This window comes from Homo sapiens, chromosome 16 (assembly GCF_000001405.40).
Source record: "Homo sapiens chromosome 16, GRCh38.p14 Primary Assembly".
Classification (NCBI taxonomy): Eukaryota; Metazoa; Chordata; class Mammalia; order Primates; family Hominidae; genus Homo; species Homo sapiens.
The window spans coordinates 77,490,524-77,513,639 of NC_000016.10; the positions used below are offsets into that span (position 1 = coordinate 77,490,524).

The window sequence follows — 23,116 nt, forward strand, 5'->3', positions numbered from 1 at the left end:
GATCTGACTCTACTCAAAGACCCTGCTTAGAAAACGAGATTTCAGGCTTATCCTGTGACCCTGCAACCAGCACCCAGTACTGTTCCAATAAAGGCCTGACATCCTTCAGGACTGCTGCTGTGCCCTCTGTTTTTCCTGCTCCCACTTCTGCAGTGGGTCCTCCCACCTGTTGCTGAGGCTCTCTGCTTCCCAGTGCCCGCTTATGTTTTTTGGCATTTCCTCCTCTTGTGAGAAAACCTGGTAATGTGAAATCTATCGTAACGTCCCCTGCTTTCACTGACAAGAGAACGGGGAAATACCCTGGCCTTAAAACTACTTTGTATGCTTTCCTTAAACAAAAGTAGACTTTCTTCTTGAAGGAGAGGGGGAAAAAACCTTCCAATTAATAAAAGTTTCGGAATAAGACTTCTAATATTATTCTAATATTGACATTCTAAATGGTCAATGAATAGTTGCCAGTACTGATCAGAAAGCCATAGAACAGATATTACTTGTGAGGCAGAAGAGACCAGGATTTTCTATAAGTCGCAAACTAATTAATTCCAATAAACGTTTGGACTAGGCAGACTGTCCTCATCAAGAAAGAACACAACCAGAATATACAGACTTTCATCCTCAATGCTGCAGTTTTAATCTGTAAGATTTAGGTCATCTGAAATACGACGTCCAATATAGAGATAGATGATAGATTGATAGATAGAGGAATGGATTGGGTGAACAGACAAGATAAGTGATGATGATGATGATGATGATGATGATGATTTTTTTTTTTTGAGACAGTCTCACCCTGTCACTCAGGCTGAGTGCAGTGGCACAATCTCGGCTCACTGCAACCTCCGCCACCAGGGTTCAAGTGATTATTCTGCCTCAGGCTCCCGAGTAGCTCAAATTTCAGGCACATACCACCACATCCAGCTAAGTTTTGTATTTTTAGCAGAGATGGAGTTTCACCATGCTGGCCATGTTATTTCTTGAACTCCTGATGTTAGGTGATCTGCCTGCTTCGGCCTCCCAAAGTGCCAGGATTACAGGCGTGAGCTGCTGTGCCCAGCCTAATTTTGTTTTAATGAACAGATTTTTTCTTTCTCCATCACTACCAGCATTCAAAAATCATCATAAAAAGGGATCTTACAGTACAGAACAGCTACATCTCAGAAAAAGAGATTTTGACATGAGGAGCTGCCTCATTCTTTCCACATGCAGCCACCAGCCAGCAGGGCAATCAGGAATCTGGGGAAAGAGATGTTATACTCCAGGGGCAGGTCCACTCCTCATTGGAATGTGGGTAGAATCAAAGCCCTGATCTTTAGCAGCCCTCTAACCCTTCTGGACTATGGATCCCTCCAGGAGCCAAGGACTTTGTTTGTTTTCCCTGCCTGAGAAGTCCAAAACAATAAAAATTAGCAAAGCAGAAGTGAGGCCACCAGGAGGAATTCAGCTACCCAACTTCTTTGAGCCACACGTGGAGGAAGAAGTTGGACTCCATGCCCCCAAATGCTCATTTGGCATAGAGGAAGACAAAGACTTGCTGAGAAGGAAGGTGGAGGAGGTACTGATGGTGATCATGGTTTGCCTAAACAGTAAAGGCAGCAGCCAAGGAAGAAAATCTGAGACTAGGTCTTGGGGAGGCAAAGGTGATGCAGGAAGTCGTCCAGGGAGAAGCAGGGTGGAGTGTGGAAAGCGTCTTGCATTACATTAACAGAAGCCAGAATGGAAAACACAAGGAATATGCACAGGTCATAAGATACGAGCTCTATCTGAAAGTCAAAAAATTTGCCTGACTTCAGGTCGAGGAGAAGTTGGCCTGTTCATAAACCACCCACTGGGCTGAGATACAACTCTTCCTTCTCAAGAAGCTCAGAGGGAAGCTTGGGGAAATCAAGCTTCTATTTGTGCAACTTTGATCAAAATATGTCACTCATCCTCTGCTGGCCTCTATCCTGGTACCTTCTATGCAGAGACAAAGGCACTCAAAATAATGTTTATGCTCCTCTTCTGACGGAGCCATGGCAAGAACACAATCACATGCCATAGCAGATTAGAAAATGTAGGTGTTATTCTTTTTAAGTGTCTGTAATATGCCAAACTTATCTTCATCCTCTGAGATAGGCATTCTTACCTCCATTTCGCAGACTAAAAAAAATTGAGGTGCAGAGATAGTAAGTCACTTGCCCATGGTTTCATAATGAAGCAGAAGCAGACCAAAGGTTTAGTGTCAGCAAACCCAGCTACACCCAGTTCCAAACTCTATATTTTTTCCACCATAGATTTTAAGGCTATGTAACAAACAGGCTTGGAAGGTAGAAATATTATCTCCCTCTGGAGCCATAGGCAGGCATGGTTGCTGTCCCATAGTAAAGATTCAGGTTCTCCCAGCCTGGGGTTCCCCATTTGTGACTCTCCCTACAGTTATGCGTTGTCCTGTAGGAGACAGGTGAGGACAGCTGACACAAATGTGAAGTGCAGGCTACTTGCTGTACTGGGATTAATAAAGCCCTTTGTCACTGACCCAGGAGTCTCACATCTTCTGCCAACATCCATAAAAGCTTGGGAGACTCACTTGTTAGCTGGCAAGTCGGGTAAAATCTCAGACCCCACCAGAGGAAGCTTCCTGGATAAGCTGGAAATGGGCAGAGAGATCCAAATGAATATCTTCCTATGTATCTTCTGGCCCTAGAACAAAGTCTACATGCCCTCCTGTGGCACACGAGAGAGTTCTCGGGCACCATGCACATCCTTAGGCGATGAAACCTAGGAAATGTCTTGGATAGGTAGCAAGTCATTCTCACCAGGTCCTGGTCCTGAATCAACACCATCATTCCCTGGGCCACCATGTATCTATACAATGAGGGCACCGAGCTAGAGTAATAACATCTGACTTAAGAATGACACACTTCTGAGAGTCTTATGTATTATTTCATTGCATATCAACAATAACTCTACAAATAAGGAATTATTGCTCTCAGAAAGGGAACCAGCTCATCCAGGTTACAGAGCTGGGGTACATGTCTATCCAAATCCTTGCTCATCATCACCATCCCCGCGAGATTCCATCTTCCTCCTGCCACTCAGAAATTCATCACTATCCTTGGAATATATTTCCTTTTGATTATTTAAAACATTTTTTTAGATAGAGAACTTTGTGCTAGTAAGAAAAGGTAATTGCCACTCAGGGTGAAAATAAAAAATTTAAAAAAAAACCAACACCCTTGTTTGGTTAATGAGGAACACTTGTTCAAGCAAAGAACCACTCTGGGGCAAATTAAACTTTATTTTTTTCTCTAATCATCTGAAGTCCATGTTGGGGTAATCCAAACCTCCCCACAGAGAGAGTGCAGTCTGCATAACCCCATTTTTTTTCTTTTTTGCAATTACAGGAGCTATGAGGACCTGGGAGTGACCCAGGTCCCTCATTCTTTTGGAACGAAGGAAGACAAGACGCCCATAAGTTTAGGAAGTGAGAATGCCTTTTGCTCAGCCAAGAGATATAACCAGTTCCTCAGTTCGTGCTGCAGTCAGGATGGAGGCCAGGCTGTAAATATGAGCCTGTCCATTCTTATGTAGCTGCTAGGACACTGGGACTGTCAATTTCCAAGGTATCTTGCCCTCTGACAAAGTCCATTTCAGGGAGGAATCTCTATGGACCCCTTTTGGGAGGGCAGATAGATTGTGATCAATTGAGAGAGATGTTATAACTAATGAGTGACTGTATTACTTTTCTAGGACTGCCCTAACAACTACAACAAACTGGCTGGCTTTAAACACAGAAGTATATTCCCTCACATTTCTAGAGGCTAAAAGTCTAAAGTCTAAGGTGCTGGCAGAACCATCCTCTCTCTCCTAGCATCTCTTAGCAAGGAACACCAAAGGAAATCTTGCAGCTGCATAATTCCAGTCTCCGCCTCCTTCATCACATGGCTGTCTTCCCCGTATGTCCCTGTCTTCACGTGGCATTCTCTTCTCTGTGTGTGTCTATCAGATAGACACACAGATGTATTTCCTCTCTTTATATCAGGACGTAAGTCATATTGGATTCAGGGCCCACCCTACTCCAGTATGACCTCATCTTAACTTACATCTCAACTACACCTGCAAAGACCCTATTTCCAAATAAGTTCACATTCAGAAGTGCCAGGGGTTAGGGTTTGAGTACTACTCGAACAACATCAGTTATTATTAATAAAGTGTCCAAGTTTATCTATTTCTTTCATGTAGTTGTCTTTCATCTATTACAATTAAAAAAAAACAGAGGCCGGGCGTGGTGGCTCACACCTATAATCCCAGCACTTTGGGAGGCCGAGGTGAGCAGATCACTTCAGCTCAGAGGTCAAGAATTTGAGACCAGTCTGACCAGCATGGTGAAACCTCATTTCTACTAAAAAAAAAAAAATATATATATATATGAAAATTAGCCGGATGTGGTGGTGGGCACTTGTAATTCCAGCTACTTGGGAGGCTGAGGCAGGAGAATCATGTGAACCTGGAAGGCAGAGGTTGCAGTGAGTCAAGATTGTGCCACTGCACTCCAGTCTGAATGACAGAGCAAGACTCTGACTCAAAAAGAAAAAAATCAGAATAATGGCATCTTCACGCATCTGTACTCTCTCTTTTGCCCTCTACACTTCAGGCATACCAGGCCTTTCTGGCCTTAGGGCTTTTGCACACGTTGCTCCTGCAGCCTGGGACATACTTCCCAGGGTTTTTGCACAGCTGACTTCTCGTTCTTCAGGGTCATTTTAAAAATATTGTCTCCTCTGTGATGCCTCCCCCTAAATAGCTTTAATCTCTACCTGGGTAGCCCACTCATCTCCTTGGTAACACTCAATATTCATCTATTATAATTTGTTTATTTGTCTAAGGATCATCACCTCCCACCTCACTGTCATGTAAACTGTATGTGAGCAGGAGTTTTAGTCTGTTTTTTTTACTCTTGTATGGACCAACACATCACCAGGAACATAGCAGAAGTTCAATAAATACCTGTCGCATATGTGGATGAGGAGATATTTTTCATAAATCAAAAAAATTGGGATGTGCGTACAGCCAGCAGTCTAGAATGACTCTTAACATCAGCAGGTCCTGGTGCAGGCAGGACATTTCTTTTACTGTATGTTAGTATTTTGTCTTGGTTAAGAATGTGGGCTTTGGACCAGGTGCGGTGGCTCATGCCTGTAATCCCATCAGTTTCGGAGACCGAGACAGGCAGATCACTTGAGGTCAGGAGTTCCAGACCAGCCCGGCCAACATGTTGAAATCCTGTCTCTACCAAAAACTACAAAATTAAGCCAGGCATGGTGGCGCATGCCTGTAATCCCAGCTACTTGGGAGACTGAGGCAGGGGAATTGCTTGAAACTGGGAGGCAGAGGCTGCAGTGAGCCAAGATTGTGCCACTGCATGGAGAACCTGTCACACACACACACACACATACTGTGGGCTTTGAAATTAGACAACTGGTGTCCTATGGCTGGTCTTCCCCACAGTTCCTGTGTGACTCTGAGACTCTGTATCATAAGAATGTGTGATTCTTCTTTCGTAAGACTATTGCATTCATACAACTATTAACAAATATTTGTTGAAGTCTTATTGAGCGCCATGATAAACTAAGGCATATAAAGTGCTTAGCAAAGGCTTTGGCATGTGAGAGGTGTTAGAAAAGTGGGATTTTGCTTAACTGAATACCTCATATGTGAAAGCAGAGCTAATTCAATGGAATACCTAATAGGCAAAACCAGAGCCTTGGAAGGGACCAAGTGTCCTTAGTGTCCTTTCTCGCTCAGGGAGTCTCCTGCTGCTTCATTGTGAGCAGTAACATTTCTACTCAGGAGCAGGAAGAAGGGTGGTGACAGGTGTAAGTGGGAAAATAACCTGAGGGATACTACCCGTGTGAAGCACCATTTGTCACCATTCTGTTGAGTAGTAGGGGTGGGAAGGTTGGCATTATGAACTTGAGAGGTAACAATTCTATCAGCCAGAAGTGAATGCTGGGAAGGTAGAAAGGGGAGGCAAAATAGCACAGGCTCTGCAGTCAACCCCTTGGGTTAAAAAAAGAAAAGTTTCTGCTACTTACATGCAGAGGATGAACAAACAACCACATTCCAAGAGGTTTCTTTGGAGGATAACATTGTATACCCAGGAGGTGCCACATCCTTCAACAAAATATCATACTACATGGCTTCACATAATCCTGACTCATTTCTTTGAGGCAGTCTTTAATATTCCCATTTTATAGATGTAAAAAATATATCTTGGGAGATCAGCTCCATTTCCCAAAGACAACCAGCTCCTAAGTGGAGCGAGGGTTGTGATATGGTTTGGATTTGTGTCCCCACCCAAATCTCGTGTCAAACTGGAAGAGGGACCTGGTGGGAGGTGACTGGATCATAGGGGCTGATTTCCCCCTTGCTGCTCTCATAGTAGTGAATTTTCACAAGATCTGATAGTTTAAAAGTCCGTGGCACTTCCTCCTAGTGTGCTCTCTCTCTCCTGCTGCCATGTGAAGAAGGTGCTTGCTTCCCCTTCCCCTTCTGCCATGATTGTAAGTTTCCTGAGGCCTCCCAGTCATGCTTCCTGTAGAACTGTGAGTCAATTAAACCTCTATTCGTCATAAATTACTCCATCTAAGGTAGTTATTTATAGCAGTGTGAGAACTCATCTTGGGTGTGACCTCTGCATTCTTTCTGCTCCCAACCCTCCATATTCCTCCCATTTCTAAGATTTGTGGTTGTGAAGTTATTGAAGCATGGGCAGGTCAAAGTTCTAAGTGGGTTGTTCAGGGCATAAATGTCTATGTGGCCATTTCTATCACTTTGTATAGGGAATTGAGTTATATGAGTATGCTCGCACAAGGCTTTTCTGAAATGCCACTAGCCTCTTACATGACTCCATATCATCAAAACCACATTAATGGAATACTTTAAGATGAAAAAGGGAAACTTTGAAGCAAAAATACTAGACCAGGTTTGTTCACCTCAGCATTATCAAAATTTGGGGCTGGCTATTTCTTTCCTGTAGGAATGCCCTGTACATAGTAGCATGTTTAGTGGCACCACTGGCCTCAACCCACATACTAATAGCACCCCATCACCCAGTTGGTAACAATGAAAAGTGTCTGCAGATATTTCCACAGTTCCCTTGGAGAGGGGTGGTAAAAAAAAAAAACCACCCAGTTGTGACACAATAAGCTAAACAAACGTAAACTCAAAGTCTTAGTCTGCAACTTTTGTAGCCTTGAGACAGTTGCACACTCTTCATGAGACTGTTTCCTTAGGTATAGAATGAAGATGGCAGTTTCTATCTTGCAAGATAACTGTGAGAATTAATGAGACGATGTATATAAAGCTCATCATTTGCAGGCCTTCAGTAGGTGCTCAAAAAGTGGAACTTATTTTTGTGACACCTTTGATTAGCTTTCATAATGTCCATATTTGAGGACTGTGTTTTCTTTATCTCTGTCAAGAGCAAGTTGCTGTCTTTAACATTGCTGCTTCCCCTTCCATGTAAATAGGTATTCAATATTTATGAATAACATCTATCAGGTATGTTTTGCCCGTTATCTCCTTTCAAACTTTACAGCAGTCCTACAAATAAGGTGGCACTGTCATCATTTTAAAAATGAGAAAGCAGATTTAGAGACATTAAGTAATGTCCCAAAGATCACACAGCTAGAAAGCAGCATTCAAACTCTGACTCAACATCCCAAGATATTTTCTAGACTCTTATCTTTCTTCTGCATGTATCCAACAGGTTCTTTCTGAAAACAGATTCTCTTTCATTCGGTTTACGAGGAAAAATAATCAATTGCCTTAAGAGTTATGAATACATTTTATAAAGGGGTAAAACCAAGGGGCTATCAAAGCACAGAGGAGGAATATTTATCCCCATCTGGAAGATTCTAAAAAGCTTGCCATGGCTGGGGGCGCACACGGCTGGGGGTGCAATGGCTCACGCCTGTAATCCCAGCACTTTGGGAGGCCAAGGTGGTGGATCACTTGTGGTCAGGAGTTCAAGACCAGCCTGACCAACATGGTGAAACGCCATCTCTACTAAAAATACAAAAATTAGCCAGGCGTGGTGGCGTACACCTGTAATTCCAGGTATTTGGGAGACTGGGGCAGGAGAGTCACTTGAAGTTGGGAGGTGGAGGTTGCAGTGAGCCAAGATTACGCACCACTGCACTCCGCCCTGCGTAACAGAGCGAGACCCTGTCTGGAAAGAAAGGGAAGGGAAGGGGAGGGGAGGGGAGGGGAGGAGAGGGGAAGGGAGGGAAGGGTAGGGAGAAAAGAAAGAAAGAAGGAGAGAGAGAGAGAGTCAGAGGCGGGGGAGGAAGGAAGGATGGAAGGACGGACAGGCGGGCAGGCAGGCAGGCTTGCTAGCAGAAAAGATGCAAAGAGAATCATAAAGAACAACATGGACGTAGCCAAGAGTATCCAGAAGACAAGATGTTCCAGACGGTGGTAACACAGGCATGAAATCCTAGCACTGAGAAAGAACACAGTAGGAGTAGTTCAAAGAGGACAAAGCTGTGAGGGTAAGGAGAGGAGGAATGAGAGGTGAGAGGGGAGGTCAGCCAGGACCAGCCAGCCAAGGGGTGCCTGTCGCAGTGCTCAGAGCTCATCCCTTGCTTCAAGGGGCTTAGATGTTCCAACTCTCTCCTATGACCTACTTTGCACATCTACCCCTAGAATTACTCTCCAGTGCTTTGTTGGGATATAAAGGACTCTGTTTCTTTGTGAAGATTGCAGCTGTAGAGTTGACATTTCACACTTTGGCAAGTGGAAATGCTCTCATGGTAGCATTGATCCCTGTGTTTAGCACATCCTTTGGCAAAGGACCTAATGAAGAGAAATTAACAAGTGAGCAGCATTTTATAGAGGACTCAGAACAAGCCACATGCCACCAGATTCTTTCCAGAACCCTGCATGAAAACAGACACCCAGCTCAGCCAACACAGCAGAGGCCAGGGCTCCTGACAGGCTGAGCAGGGACGGAAAATGGGCATGCAGTCTGGGAGGCAGGGGCAACGCTACTAGGATGACTCAAAGCCTGGATTTATGAGGCCAGATCTCTGCTGATCTTGGCACGCCCTCAGAGGCCATCACTTCCCAAGCAGGACGGCTCCTCCACGGTACCTCCCGCACATTACAGTTTCTCATGATGACCAGCAGGCAGGCAGGCTGCCCTTTCCCTCACATTTTAAACATTTCAAATAAGAAATGTTCATTACATTTCAGACTTGAGAAATCAAAATGATCCAGTCTGGCCGTTCTGTTATAAAATGTGTATATAGAACGGCCACTGCGTTGAAGGGAAGACTTGTGGAGTTTTTCCTCCAACCCCTAGTGCTTTGTTCATTGTGGGTATTTGGCAAACAGTGGGAGAAAGGAAGTGAAATTGTATTCCCTACAGTAGCATAAAAAATGTTGTGTCTATCCCTTTTGTTCGCAGCTCCAATCACCACGGATAAAAATATCAGGTGTCCAAAATACCTGTGGATTCATTATTAACCATGTAGAGGGCAAGTTGGGAAAAAGGTTGTCCTAGGGAAGGAGATAATAACACACCTGGAAGTCAAGCCCATACGACAAACATACACACACACAGAGACACACACACAAACACACACTTACAGACTCACACAGAGACACACACAGAAACACACCCATACACACACAGACATGCACACACAGATGCACACAGATACACACACACATAGACACACACACACAAGTTATATATTACTCAAGTATAAGGTTTTTAAGTTACCACAAAGATAACAAATCATTTGTAATATAGTAATGCCCTTGAAACACTCCCTTAACAAAGAAGAGAAGCAGGGGTAGGAATGGTTTTGTCATGCATCCCTGGGGTGGTATCAGGGAGGCGGAGGGCTTGGAACTGACATGTCACTGGCTGTTAGGGACAAAGGTGCTGTGATAACAGGGAGGTCAGAAGGTTCTACTAGAATCCTCTCTTCTCTTTCAAGAAATGAATTTGAGTATTAGGAAAGCTAAATAAACTCAGATCCTTAAAGAAGGGCTAAAGAAGCTGTTAATTTACACAGCATTTCTCTGCCTTCTCCCTAGTTAGGCCAAGCTATGCATATCAATAAATGGTTAACTTCTTTTCCCTTGAGAAATATTTGAGTTGTTCTGTGCCTCCTGATCCATAACCATACTGACAGACGAGAAGTAGCTGTGAAATTGAGTAATTTTATACTGATTTGATTTAATGCAGGAATTAAGAAATACTCGGATATCATATGCTAATAGCCAAGTATTTATATTAAGATGCAACATCAGCCTTCCTCCTCAAGTTCTAAGGCCAAAGTATTTGACCTAGACTTTGCACTTAAATCCACAAAGAAAAACAGGAAATTCAATGGCATTCCCTGTGTTCACCTTTTTTTTAAATTTATTTTATTTTAAGTTCCGGGATACATACGCAGGACGTGCATGTTTGTTGCCTAGGTATACAGATGCCATGGTGGTTTGCTGCACCCATCAATCTGTCATCTAGGTTTCAAGCCCTGCATGCATTAGCTATTTGCCCTGATGCTCTCCCTCCCCACCTCCCTGACAGGCCCCAGTGTGCGTTGTCCCCTCCCCCGTGTCCATGTGTTCTCATTGTTTGACTCCCACTTATGAGTGACAACATGCAGCATTTGGTTTTCAATACCTTTCTAAGCTTAGTCCTATTCTGGGATCCTGACTGATCAAGCTTCAGAGGAAAAGATGGATTGTTTGAGTTTCTACTGTGTGTTCTCAGTCTCTACCAACAACCACACACAATAAAGTGGGTGTAAGCCAGTCTAATTAAAAAAAGTCTAGAAGTTTCTCCAATTAAAAAAAAAAGATAGTCAAGGAGTCATTCCTTTGTTATCATGTAGGACACTCTTTAAGGGGAAGTTATGTTTGGCTGACTCTGGGGGCTCTAACATGTACCCAGCCCTCTCATTTGAAAACACACAGGAAGTTTTAAATTTCAGGGGGTCATAGACCCCTGGGAGACCATCCGTGGACATTCCTCTACAAACAAAGAGCTTCCTAAGCTAATTAACTGTGCATAGAAATCACTCTGAAGTAAGTAAAATTCTTACCTCTAAACAACGTCTACTAAATAGTTTTGTTTCTTATGGAGATGTTCCCATTTTGACAAAGTTACTTAGAAGGCTTGTGCAATTATGTCAACAACATCACCTCTGGGATTTTCATTCCTCATTAATATGTCAAAATGACTATGACTATAGGAGAAGCTTCAGGGGAACTGAAAGGTTACCCTGGGATTTTCCCTGGGTAAACTTGGACAAGACATTTCCCCTTCTCAAGCGGCAGTTTCTTCATCTGTGAAATGAAAGGATTATGCTATATAATCTCTAAAGCTCCTTCTAGCACATGAGATAACTAACACTTACATCTCTGACCCTTCAAGAATTTTGATAGGCCTTCCCTGGAAAGAATTCAACAGCTAAATGTAGATGTTTATGGGAACAGAAGAGCAAGAGTTTCTGCAGACAAAACAAGGATGAACGAAGCCTGCGTTCCGACCAAGAACTGAAAATAAACCGGTGGCCTAATTTTGCCTCAGCCTCTGCTTTGAGAATTAAAAGACATTTTTGAGTGTAAAGAAATTCCTCAAAACTATCAACAGTGGTCAAAAATGAGCCATCAGAAACTGCAAAGATCTGTTGCAAAATACCAGAAGAGAAGGCAGGAGTAGGTCTCTGTTTTCCTTCTGATTCCTCTGCTGACTTCATCACACTTTCTATTGGCTATTTCTTTCCTTGTAACATGAAGGCTGGCCAAAATGGAATAGGAAAGGAAGAGGAAAAGGTGAATCCTTATTTGTTGGTGATTACTACAGACCAGGAGCTGTGCATATGTCATTTCATTTCTCATAGGAACTCATTATGAATAACGAGGACACGGAGACTTGGTGGTGATAAAAATCATGCAAAAAATAATCTGAATAAACAGCATCATAACAGACACGTCTGCTGGCCCAGGGCCGTCTATTCTCAAACCCCAAATGGTTTTCAATAAATCAGGCTGCCTCCATGAAGTTCTGATATACACTCTCCACAAAGATATTTCTGCATTTGGAAGCTAAAAGGATCTGACATTTATCACGTGACTTAGGTTTGTAAAACACACCACCACTGAAAGGGCTATAGATCATGACTACAAAGACTAAGATGAGGGATGATACTAAAAGGCACACTTTGCCAGGGATGAATAGTATTATTCCATAATAAAGCACCGTATCGAAGATGAGAATTCTGGGCTATCCTTTTTCACTAACCAGCTAAGAATCTTGAACAACCGCTTCACATACCTAGGCTTCTATTCCTTTGCCCTTAAAACACAGTTGGATGGTATCATTAGACACCTTCCTCACTAGGCCTTTGTGATAAACAAAATAGTATATGTTAAGATGCCTTTAAGAGAACAAGGTGATGCTTTATGAATGCAATGTTTGAGAAGTTTTAATGTATATTTTGAATTTTCCTTCCAGCCGTAGGTTCAGGTAACTAAAGCCCAAGCCAACTAACCAGACAATTACCTAACCTATAATTCACTTTTGATCGTGTTTGCATTCCTATGCCTACTAAAGAGTTAAATAAGAAATAAAAATAAAAGCAGATTTCAGATACTATTTCATTAGAAGAGCACATGTTCCCTGATTAATTAGAGTCCCAAACAATAGTTTCTAGTTTTACCTAGGTGGTTGAAAACCTCTCTGTTTATCTCAGAGTGGGAACTTCCTTTAGTCTAGCCCATATCTCTCTTCAGTGCCTTACTTCCAAACATCAGACTGTAGTAAGAATTTAAGGTTAGGAGCTCTCTGTCACATACCTAACAAGTGGTATTATTATTCAAACTGAGGTCTGCGGGACTTAAAAGGTGACACTCTTTCCACAGATGCTACCCTCCCTCGTGTAGCAATAGAGACTAAACATGAGAAATAAAGCTTGAAATTCCACTTGTCTGATTAATACACAGTGCCTATCTGAAGATTTATGTTTGTTTTTCTACTAAATAAATGGTTACAGCATTTCCCCAGCCAATAATACACCGGACTAATTAACACCAGCTTTCTTTCGAAGTCTACTGTATAGACAAAAATTCTATCCCTAGGGACCGATCCCTCAGAAAGGCCATGGAAAGACTCTCTCAAGAGTCCTTCACCAAGAGACCCCTGAGAGCAACCACACATTGACACACTGTTGGCCGTTAACACCTTAGCAAAGATTAGCAGCATTTAGTTGTCAAGCAGAAAATAATATAGAATTGTCAAGAAGAAAATAGTATAGACAGAATGGAAGAAGAAAGGAAAAGAGACAGAGAAGAGGGAGGAGGGAAGGAAGAAGGAACGCAAAAATAAGAAGGGAAGAACAAAACTGTTGAGAGTCCATTATTTGGATAGGAAAGTATTTAAGGACCTGAAATATATATCTACATATACGTATTTATGATATAGATATAGATCACAAAGAAGGAATGAGAACCATTTATATTACAGGCACGTGCTAAGTAACATACACATTGGTTCATTTAACAGCATACAGTGTGTTTTGTGTTCTACATTCACTATTTTTTCAAATGTTTAGATCAATTTTATGAGATATAATTACATATAATAAAAAGCAGAGGCTGGGGGCGGCAGCTCACGTCTTTTATCCCAGCACTTTGGAAGGCCAAGGCAGGAGGATCACTTGAACCCAGGAGTTTGAGACAAGCCTAGGCAATATAGTGAGACCTCCTCTCTACAGAAAATTAGCTGGGTGTTATGGTGTGCACCTGTGGTCCCAGCTACTCAATAGGCTGAAGTGGGAGGATCTCTGAGCCCGGGAGGTGGAGACTACAGTGAGCCATCATTGCGCCACTGAACTCCAGCCTGGCCGACAAAGGGAGACCCTGCTCCAAAAAAAATAAAATAGAACAGAATAAATAAAGCAGAGTTTGATGAGTTATTCACGTAGGTCAGGATCACTATAATCATGATACAGAACATTTTTGTCACTCTAAAATCTTCCCTCATTCCCTTTTTATGTCACCTCTTAACCTCCAGCTTCAGGCCATCGACTAATTTGATTTCACTGTCTATAAATTTGTCTTTTTCTGTACACTTCACATAAATGAAATTGTACAATATGTAGCTGTTTTCATCAGGCTTCTTCCACTTAGTACAATGTTTCTGAGCTCTGCTCCTGTTGTAACATTTCTCAGTATTTCATTCCTGTTTTTGCTCTGAATAGTATTCCATTGTATGAACTTATTCATTCTTCTGTTGATGAATTGTTTCCACTTTGGGGGCATTATAAATAAAGCTACTATGAGCATTAAGATGCAAATCTTTGTGTGAACATTTGCTTTTATTTCTCTTGGGTAAGGATCTAGGAGTAGAACTGCTGGGTTGTTTAAGTGCATGATTAACCTTTCAAGAAACTGCCAAACAGTTTTCAAAACTGGTTGTGGCATTTTATACTCCCTTCAGCAATGCATGAGTATTCTAGTGGCTTCACATCTTTGCCAACACTTCTTGTTGTCAGTCTTTTTAATATCACACATTCAGTGGGAGGGTTGTCACGTCTCATTTTGGTTTTAGTTCACATTTTCCTGATGACCAGTAATGTTGAGCAGCTTTTCATATGCTTATTAACCATTCACATATCTTCTTTTCTGAAGTGTTAGTTCATATATTTTGCCCTTTTTTAAAATTAGGTTATTCATTTTCTCATTGAGTTGTAAGAGTTTCTAAATATTCTAGTCTTTAATTCTTTGACAGATACACACATTACGTTTTCCAAGTCTGTGGCTTAATGCATTTTATTTTCTGAATGGTGCCTTTTAAAAAGAAAACATTTTAAATTCTGATAAAGTTCAATTAATCTTTTAAAAGATTTTATGGTTTCTGATTGTTATACCATATGTAATAAATCTTAGCTTACACCCAGGTCACAGAGATTTTCTGTGCTCTATCTTCTAGCTTGAGGTTTTACCTTTAAGTTTACTAGTCTAATTAATTTTTGTATACGCTGTGAGGTCAGGATCAAAGTTTTTAAAATCTCATTTTGATATATAACAAATGGTGTACTTTTCATTATATTTTTGAAAAGAATATCTTTTCTCCATTGAATTACCCTAGTTCCATTGTGTGGGTCTATTTCTGGATTCAGCATTCTATTTAATTAATCTATATATGTCTATGCTTATGTTAATACCACATTGTCTTGATCACTACAGATAAAAATCTTAGTAGTTCTTAAAATTATGTAATGCGTATCATCCAACTTTGTTCTTTTCTGAAATTGCTTTGACTATTATGATTATTTTATATTTCTGTACCATAAAATTATAAAGTTGACTTGTCAATTTCTCCAAAAGAATTCCTGCTGGGAATCAAAACCAAAATGAGATACCATCTCGCGCCACTCAGAATGGTGATTGATTATTAAAAAGTCAAGAAACAAAGCAATGGCAACAAAAGCCAAAATTGACAAATGGGATCTAATTAAACTAAAGAGCTTCTGCACAGCAAAAGAAACTACCATCAGAGTGAACAGGCAACCTACAGGATGGGAGAAAATTTTTGCAATCTACTCATCTGACAAAGGGCTAATATCCAGAATCTACAATGAACTCAAACAAATTTACAAGAAAAAAACAAACAACCCCATCAAAAAGTGGGCAAAGGATATGAACAGACATTCTCAAAAGAAGACATTTATGCAGCCAACAGACACATGAAAAAATGCTCGTCATCACTGGCCATCAGAGAAATGCAAATCAAAATCACAATGAGATACCATCTCACGCCAGTTAGAATGCAGGAAACAACAGGTGCTGGAGAGCATGTGGAGAAACAGGAACACTTTTACACTGTTGGGACTGTAAACTAGTTCAACCATTGGAAGTCAGTGTGGTGATTCCTCAAGGATCTAGAACTAGAAATACCATTTGACCCAGCCATCCCATTACTGGGTATATACCCAAAGGATTATAAATCATGCTGCTATAAAGACACATGCACATGTATGTTTATTGTGGCACTATTCACAATAGCAAAGACTTGGAACCAACCCAAATTTCCATCAATGATAGACTGGATTCAGAAAATGTGGCACATATACACCATGGAATACTATGCAGCCATAAAAAAGGATGAGTTCATGCCCTTTGTAGGGACATGGATGAAGTTGGAAACCATCATTCTCAGCAAACTATCGCAAGGACAAAAAACCAAACAACGTATGATTTCACTCATAGGTGGGAATTGAACAATGAGAACACTTGGACACAGGAAGGGGAACATCACACACAGGGGCCTGTTGGGGGATGTGGGGAAGGGGGAGGGATAGCATTAGGAGATATACCTGATGTAAATGACAAGTTAATGGGTGCAGCACACCAACATGGCACATGTATACATATGTAACAAACCTGCACATTGTGCACATGTACCCTAGAACTTAAAGTAAAATAAAAAAATTTTAAAAAAAGTCAAGAAACAACAGATGCAGGTGAGGTTGCTGAGAACTAGGAATACTTTTATACTGTTGGTGGGAATGTAAGCTAGTTCAACCATTGTGGAAGACAGTGTGGAGCTTCCTCAAAGACCTGGAACCAGAAATACCATTTGACTCAGCAATCCCATTACTGGGTACATACCCAAAGGAATATAAATCATTCTGTTATAAAGATACATGCACTCACATGTTCATTGCAACACTATTCGCAATAGCAAAGACATGGAATCTACCCAAATGCCCATCAACGATAGACTGGGTAAAGAAAATGTGGTACATATACTCCGTGGATTACTATGCAACCAAAAAAGGAAGGACATCATGTCCTTTGCAGGGACATAGATGTAGCTGGAAGCCATCATCCTCAGCAAACTAATGCAGGAACAGAAAACCAAACACTGCATGTTCTCACTTATAAGTGGGAGCTGAACAATGAGAACACATGGACATAGGGAGGGGAACAACAAACACTGGGACCTGCAGGGTGGAGGGAGAGCAGGGGGAGGGAGAGCATCAGGAAAAATAGCTAAAGCATGCTGGGCTCAATACCGAGGTGATGTGTTGATAGGTGCAGCAAGCCACCATGGGACATGTTTACCTATGTAACAAACCTGCAGCACATCCTGCACATGTATCCTGGGACTTAAAGAAAAAATTCCTGCCAGGATTTTGATTGCAATTGCAGTGAATCTAGAGATCAATTTGGGGAGATCCAAATTGGGGAGGTTCTCAATATTGAATTTTTGAATCCATGAACATATTATATCTCTCCATTTATTTTATTCAATTATATTTTTAAGAATCTGGATGATAAGCTGACTTAGGGTTAGGTCTGAAAGATATCTAAGTGGTCACTAAACCCAAATCATTTATTTTATATGTAATAAACATTTTTTCATATAGGTGCCTAGTCTTTCTTTTCCATCCAACTAGCCAAAACGTTTTTGATTGTCAGTCTAGTATTCTTTTTCTTGCTCATTGAAGGTTAATTTGAGTTAAATAATAAAGTACTCAAAGGAAAGAGATAAAAATTTTTTTTTAAATGTTGAGTACGCTTAGGGTTGAGGCCGATTCTTCCCTATAGCACATGCATTCGTGTGTGGGCAAACACACACACAGTGCACACACAGACACCATCAAACCTCTGCTCAGAGAAAGATGCTAAAATATAGGAGGAAAGTGACTGGAAAAAGAAGCAGGAGAACTAAATATAAATGTGGACTGCATATTTGAGTTCTCTGCCATGGGTTTCAGTCAATGCCAGTCATACCTGTGGGTGATAAACTGTGATTCCTGAAGGTGATGCTGCCACAAGACTGAACCATTTGGGTTTCTGGATTTGTAAAGATCCCATACAAATAAAGGAATCATACACCTGGGAAAGGTCTAGTTTTACTTAACAGTAAGGCAGAATCAGATCTGAATCTGAGGCTGGCCTCATTCTGAGCAGAGAGTCCTATGTAGATGTCCCCAGGTGAATGGAGCTCTGGCCCTGCCCTTCATAAGCCCTACTGTATGGAGCTGTGTGTACACAGCACATATCATGTGATCCTGAAGCACCCAGGTAGCAGTATTTTCATGACCAGTTTCTCTACAGACAAGGCTAAGAAGCATTAGTATGGCTGTCCTCCTATTTAACTATTTAAATACTTCCATATGTGATGGAAGCCAAATGTCATAATCAACAGCCATTTCTTCCAAGGACTTTCCCCCAGCCTATAAGGCCTCCAGATGCCCTAGATGTACCAAACAACATTGCCGCATGATCCAGCAACCAAGGGTTAAAGGTTGGCACAGCTGGCCCCCATTCCCAAACCCAGGGGTATGGCTTTTATCCATGCTGACTGGTACCCATGTCATACTAATTGTTATATATTTTATATATCATCACTTTCTACAGAAATGTTTTAGAAGACATTTAATTTCACAATACCCATTTCCTAATATTTCCAGCCTATGCACTCCTTTTTATTCTCATAGTCCCTATCTCTGACCTAGAAGCTTATAAAAGTGAGCATCTCATAGCTATAAAAAACATAAAGTCACTATCATTGATTAAGCACTTACTATATTCTAACTCTTTATGGTCACAATTTCATTTAATCCCCAAATAAACCCACAGAGCAGGCCCTTGGGTCCTCATTTAACAAATGAAGAGCCTGAGGCTCAGAATGGTTGAATAACTTTCTCCACGCCAACATCTGGGCTCCTTTCAGTTTGAATCTTTCTACGATGCCTCATCACGTTTTCCGTTTTGTGTAACGAAAGAGATTTAAAAATAAAAGTTTCAATTAAAACTATGAGGATCATCCTCAAAGGTTCCAATTCACATTAAAATGCTAATCACTTTGTCATTTTTAATGTGTTTACCAACTCATACTTTTATATAAAAATATAAAAGTACCTAGATACGATTCTGGCAGTAGCCTGACTGCTTCTCACTACAGTGGGGACTGTCATCTCATGTGCTGGGAACGTGAAGTCACCTCCTTTACGCACTGCACTAATAAAATAATTCACTTTTGCACTCCAAATCTTACGCTTGTATTTATTTATATTCTCAACCATCATTTTTTTCATGCTTTTACACTCCCTTGTTATAAAATAATACATAGATTTAATAGAGATGGGCTTTGTCACAGTAAGAGGGCTGGATTTAGTGGTTTCTAGGGGGGTATTATTTGGGATAACTAACTGAAACCAAAGCACATTACCATTCCTTGCCTGCAACAATAAACACTGGGTCTTCAAAGGCTGACCAAGTTTCCAATGATTCCCAACAATAGCAGTTGTCATTTTCAAATGATGGTCCTTTTGAAACGCCAAGTGGAGTGAAGAAAAAGTGCGTGCTATTGCTGATTAGACAGGAATATGACTTGCAGCAGCCTATGGTACTCTCTTGTCTGCAAATTTTCTGCCCTGATTAATTACAAAGAGTGCCAGAGTGTGTTGACGTTAGTTAAAAGCATTTGCTCTTTCCAGCCTGTCGTTATACCCGAATTAAGGATTTCTGTGTCAAGGTGAGGTCAGGAGAGTTCAGATCTGTTTTCCACTGATAAATCTTGCTGTCCCATAAGGATTAAAGGAACTCAAGGCTTTCATATGTAAAACTAATACATGATGGCCTATGTGTTTACGTCCCCATGATCAAAGAGCTCTTGGCCAAGTGGGAATGCCTCAAAGAGATAAGTAATTTGTTCACTACAAACATTACAATTCTCTATCCCTCTACAAAGTACTGAAAATAAATTCTCTGATCAGAGTTAATTAGCATCCTCGTTGCTTTGGGTTGAGCTGACTAGTTCTCTTAAAGGCACACGAACATGAAAATTACAAGGCTTTTCTGAGCCAGCTTCTTAAATTCTATCAAAGATAGTTGGTGTATCCACCCATCAATTAGCTTCAACCCATTTACTTTAATCAAATTAATTGAATAAAATTTATTGCACTCCTTCTCTGTATTCATGAACCCTTCCATGCTTCTATTTGTTGACTCTTTACTCTGTGCCAAGTGCCTTTTAGAGAGCCTAATGCCCTCAAATTCACAATACAGCATGAGGTGTCAGAGAGAGGAATTAGCACAAGCAGTCAGAGGCCAAGAGAGATGGAAATGACCTATCTTAGGTGATGTTCAAGACTGGCTTGGAAGAATGAGTAGGAATTTAGTAGGTTTATATGAGAAAGAAGGGCATTTCAAGAAACAAAACCAATAAAGGCATGTGAAATAATAACCTTGGATTCACACTGCTAGACTTTCCTTCTTAGTAAGTTGTCCATCAACTTTAAATGAACTTAGGAATGAAAAAAATCAAGGCTATTTCCCTTTAACTCTTTTAAAGGACAGGGGTAGAGACCAACAATGGAGTAAGAACTCTCGGTATCAAGTCCCAGTTGTTCCTGCTAAATCCATGCTGCATGACATTTGGCTTCTCCAAGCATCTGTTCCCTAACTTAGCAAATGGAAGTAATATCTCTTCCATAGCTTTTCAAAAGCTGGCCATTGTAATAAAAAATAACCCAAATCAAGTCATTAACGACTTTATCTATAAATGACCTAATGGAGGTCCACAAAGAGCTTACCAGAACTTTTGTGTCACATTGCTGGTGCACGTTCCAATTGTGGGAACTCATCTGGTTGTAGACTCCTTACATGGACCTCTTCAGGTATTGCTAGAGTCATCAAATTCAGGCTTTGCCAATACTTTTTTCCCCCAGTTTTCAAAATAGTCATCAAAGTTATGTGTTAACCAAGTCATATACATGCACATCTACACGTTTGTTTCTGAGTTACAGTAAAGCTATAGGATAATTTGGGCATGAAAACAATTTCTACATGACCTTGCCAGAATAGACGAGACATTGTGCAAAGCAATGAGTATATTGTCGTCATCTAATTTGCTTAAACAATCTAACATTATATTGCTCAACAAGGAATCCTTTGTACAACCTCTTAGAGTGTGCAAAATCCTTTCACTTGCATTATTTTATTTCATATTTACTGTAGACTATAAGGAAAATATATCAGAGGGCAGTGGTTATTATCTCTAGTTACAGAAAAGGAAATATAGTCTCAGAAAGGTCAAGAAAGCTGCTGGAGACTGTAATTAAAATATGATGACACCTACTCCAAAGACAGTACTGTTTCCACTATAGCACACTGCCTTCTCTGATCAGCAAATGCACAAGAAAGACCATTGACACACAGACCCTAACCACAGAATTCCAACCTACCAGCAACCCTAACAAGTTCCTACTAACTCAAAATGGTGGAGAAAAACAAGAGCTTAGACTAGTCGTTCTCAGCCAAGGGTGATTTTGGACCTGTGGGGGCATTTTTCAATGTCTGGGGACATTTTGATTGTCACAACTGGGGAGTGGGGTGCTATTGGCATCTAGTGGGTAGAGGTGAGGGATACCACTGAACATCCTACAATCACAGGACAGTCCCTTCAACAAAGAGTGATCTGGCCCATAATGTCAACAGCGCTGTGGTTGAGAAACCCTAGCTTAGAATAACTGCCCTTAGGATGGCAGGAGAAAGGAAGGAATATAGATTGCTTTTCCCATTGACACAAGATAATTTAGCACCATACAGGATGAGCCACTTCCAGCCTTATGGGATGCTCTGCCTATCAGGTCTGGGTGGTGGTGTGGGAAAGGATGTCCTAATATTTTGCTAAGAGATATTCCTCATTTTATGTAGGGAATAAATAGAAAAATAAATGCCAACATATTGAAATTCAGATTCAGTTTACAGGTAACTTTTTAATTCAGGATGCACTTATTCTTAATATCTTTGAATATCAGATGATAAATTACCCACTATGTGTAGGATTCATGATATACTAGGGAATATTTAGATTGCTCCCCTGATCTCATGAAGAGTACAGAAAAATTAACATAACTCAATTAATGACAAGAAACATCGAAGGGGAAAATCTGAAATGTCTACATAAGCTTTTTAAACTTTAAGATCAAAATATATTCTCAGAAATATTTTTTATTATTATGTCCTATGAAAAGAGAAACAATAGACTCTCCATGCTTGAATAGTTTCCTTTTAACATAGTAAAGGAGTTATCAAAATATTTAAAATATTAGCAGCTTATTAATTCAATATTATAATTGTTATATAGGCAGTTTGTAATCCCTGAAACTCAAAGTAGGCTAAATATAAGCTTACAATGATTTTACACACACGTCTTTTTTCCAAAGTGCAACCGCCAAACAAATGGTAGCTGGGATGAGTGTTCCATTTTCACCACGAAACTGTAAATCCATCGTCTATGAGAGAACTATAAATTATGCATTCTGGGGAAATTCCTCTCATTTGGCCTGCTGGGGAAATCCAAGAAAAGCAGTAGGAAAAATGACTTACTACCTCTCAACACTGACCTGAAACTTGTACAGATACTTCATTGCTAGAGAGGAGAACCGGCAGAATGTGAGCGATTCAGCAGCAAAGCTCAAAATGAACTTCTAGGAGTGATGAAGAGGAGACAGAGGTAGAAAACAGACTCCAGTATTTTCATTTTTCCCCCTAATCCAAGATACCTCTGGACAACCTGATTTGCATTCCTTGAAATACATTGATTTGACACATCGGGATATTACACACCACGGCGTAGAAAGGAATCAGGTGTTACCTATGTCTTCCATATCTGGTTCTTGGCAAAAGGATATCTTTGCATATTAAGTGCCAAATGCATAAGATACAAAGTGCATGAAAAAAATTAATCAATCAACTCTGAGATGATTAGCCAAGGTCTTTTCATATGTTGTCCAGACAATAAATACAATGTTTAAGAAATGGGGATATGAGAAATTTTTTTTTTTGAGACAGTCTCCTCTGTCGCCCTGGCTGAAGAGCAGTGGTGTGATCTCAGCTCACTACAACCATTGCCTCCAGGTTCAAGCGATTATTGTGCCTCAGCCTCCCAAATAGCTGGGATTACAGACGAGCCACCATGCCCAGCTAATTTTTGTATTTTTAGTAGAAACGGGGTTTTGCCATGTTGGCCAGGCTGCTCTTGAACTCCTGATCTCAAGTGATTCGCCTGCCTTTGCCTCCCAAAGTGATGTGCTGGGAT

General features: G+C 40.8%; 1 long non-coding RNA gene across 2 annotated transcripts in view, besides 1 other annotated feature; it reads right to left on the reverse strand.

The window, feature by feature from the left end:
* Positions 1-23,116, reverse strand: part of LOC105376775 (uncharacterized) — a 53,183-nt gene that overhangs the window by 27,557 nt on the left and 2,510 nt on the right. The window lies entirely within an intron of this gene.
* Positions 10,836-11,337: an enhancer, noted in NCBI's record as "NANOG hESC enhancer chr16:77535256-77535757 (GRCh37/hg19 assembly coordinates)". NCBI's record gives its function as "activates a minimal SCP1, AML or CMV promoter by ChIP-STARR-seq in naive H9 embryonic stem cells {active_cell/tissue: H9 hESC(naive)}" and the evidence as "EXISTENCE:reporter gene assay evidence [ECO:0000049][PMID:30033119]".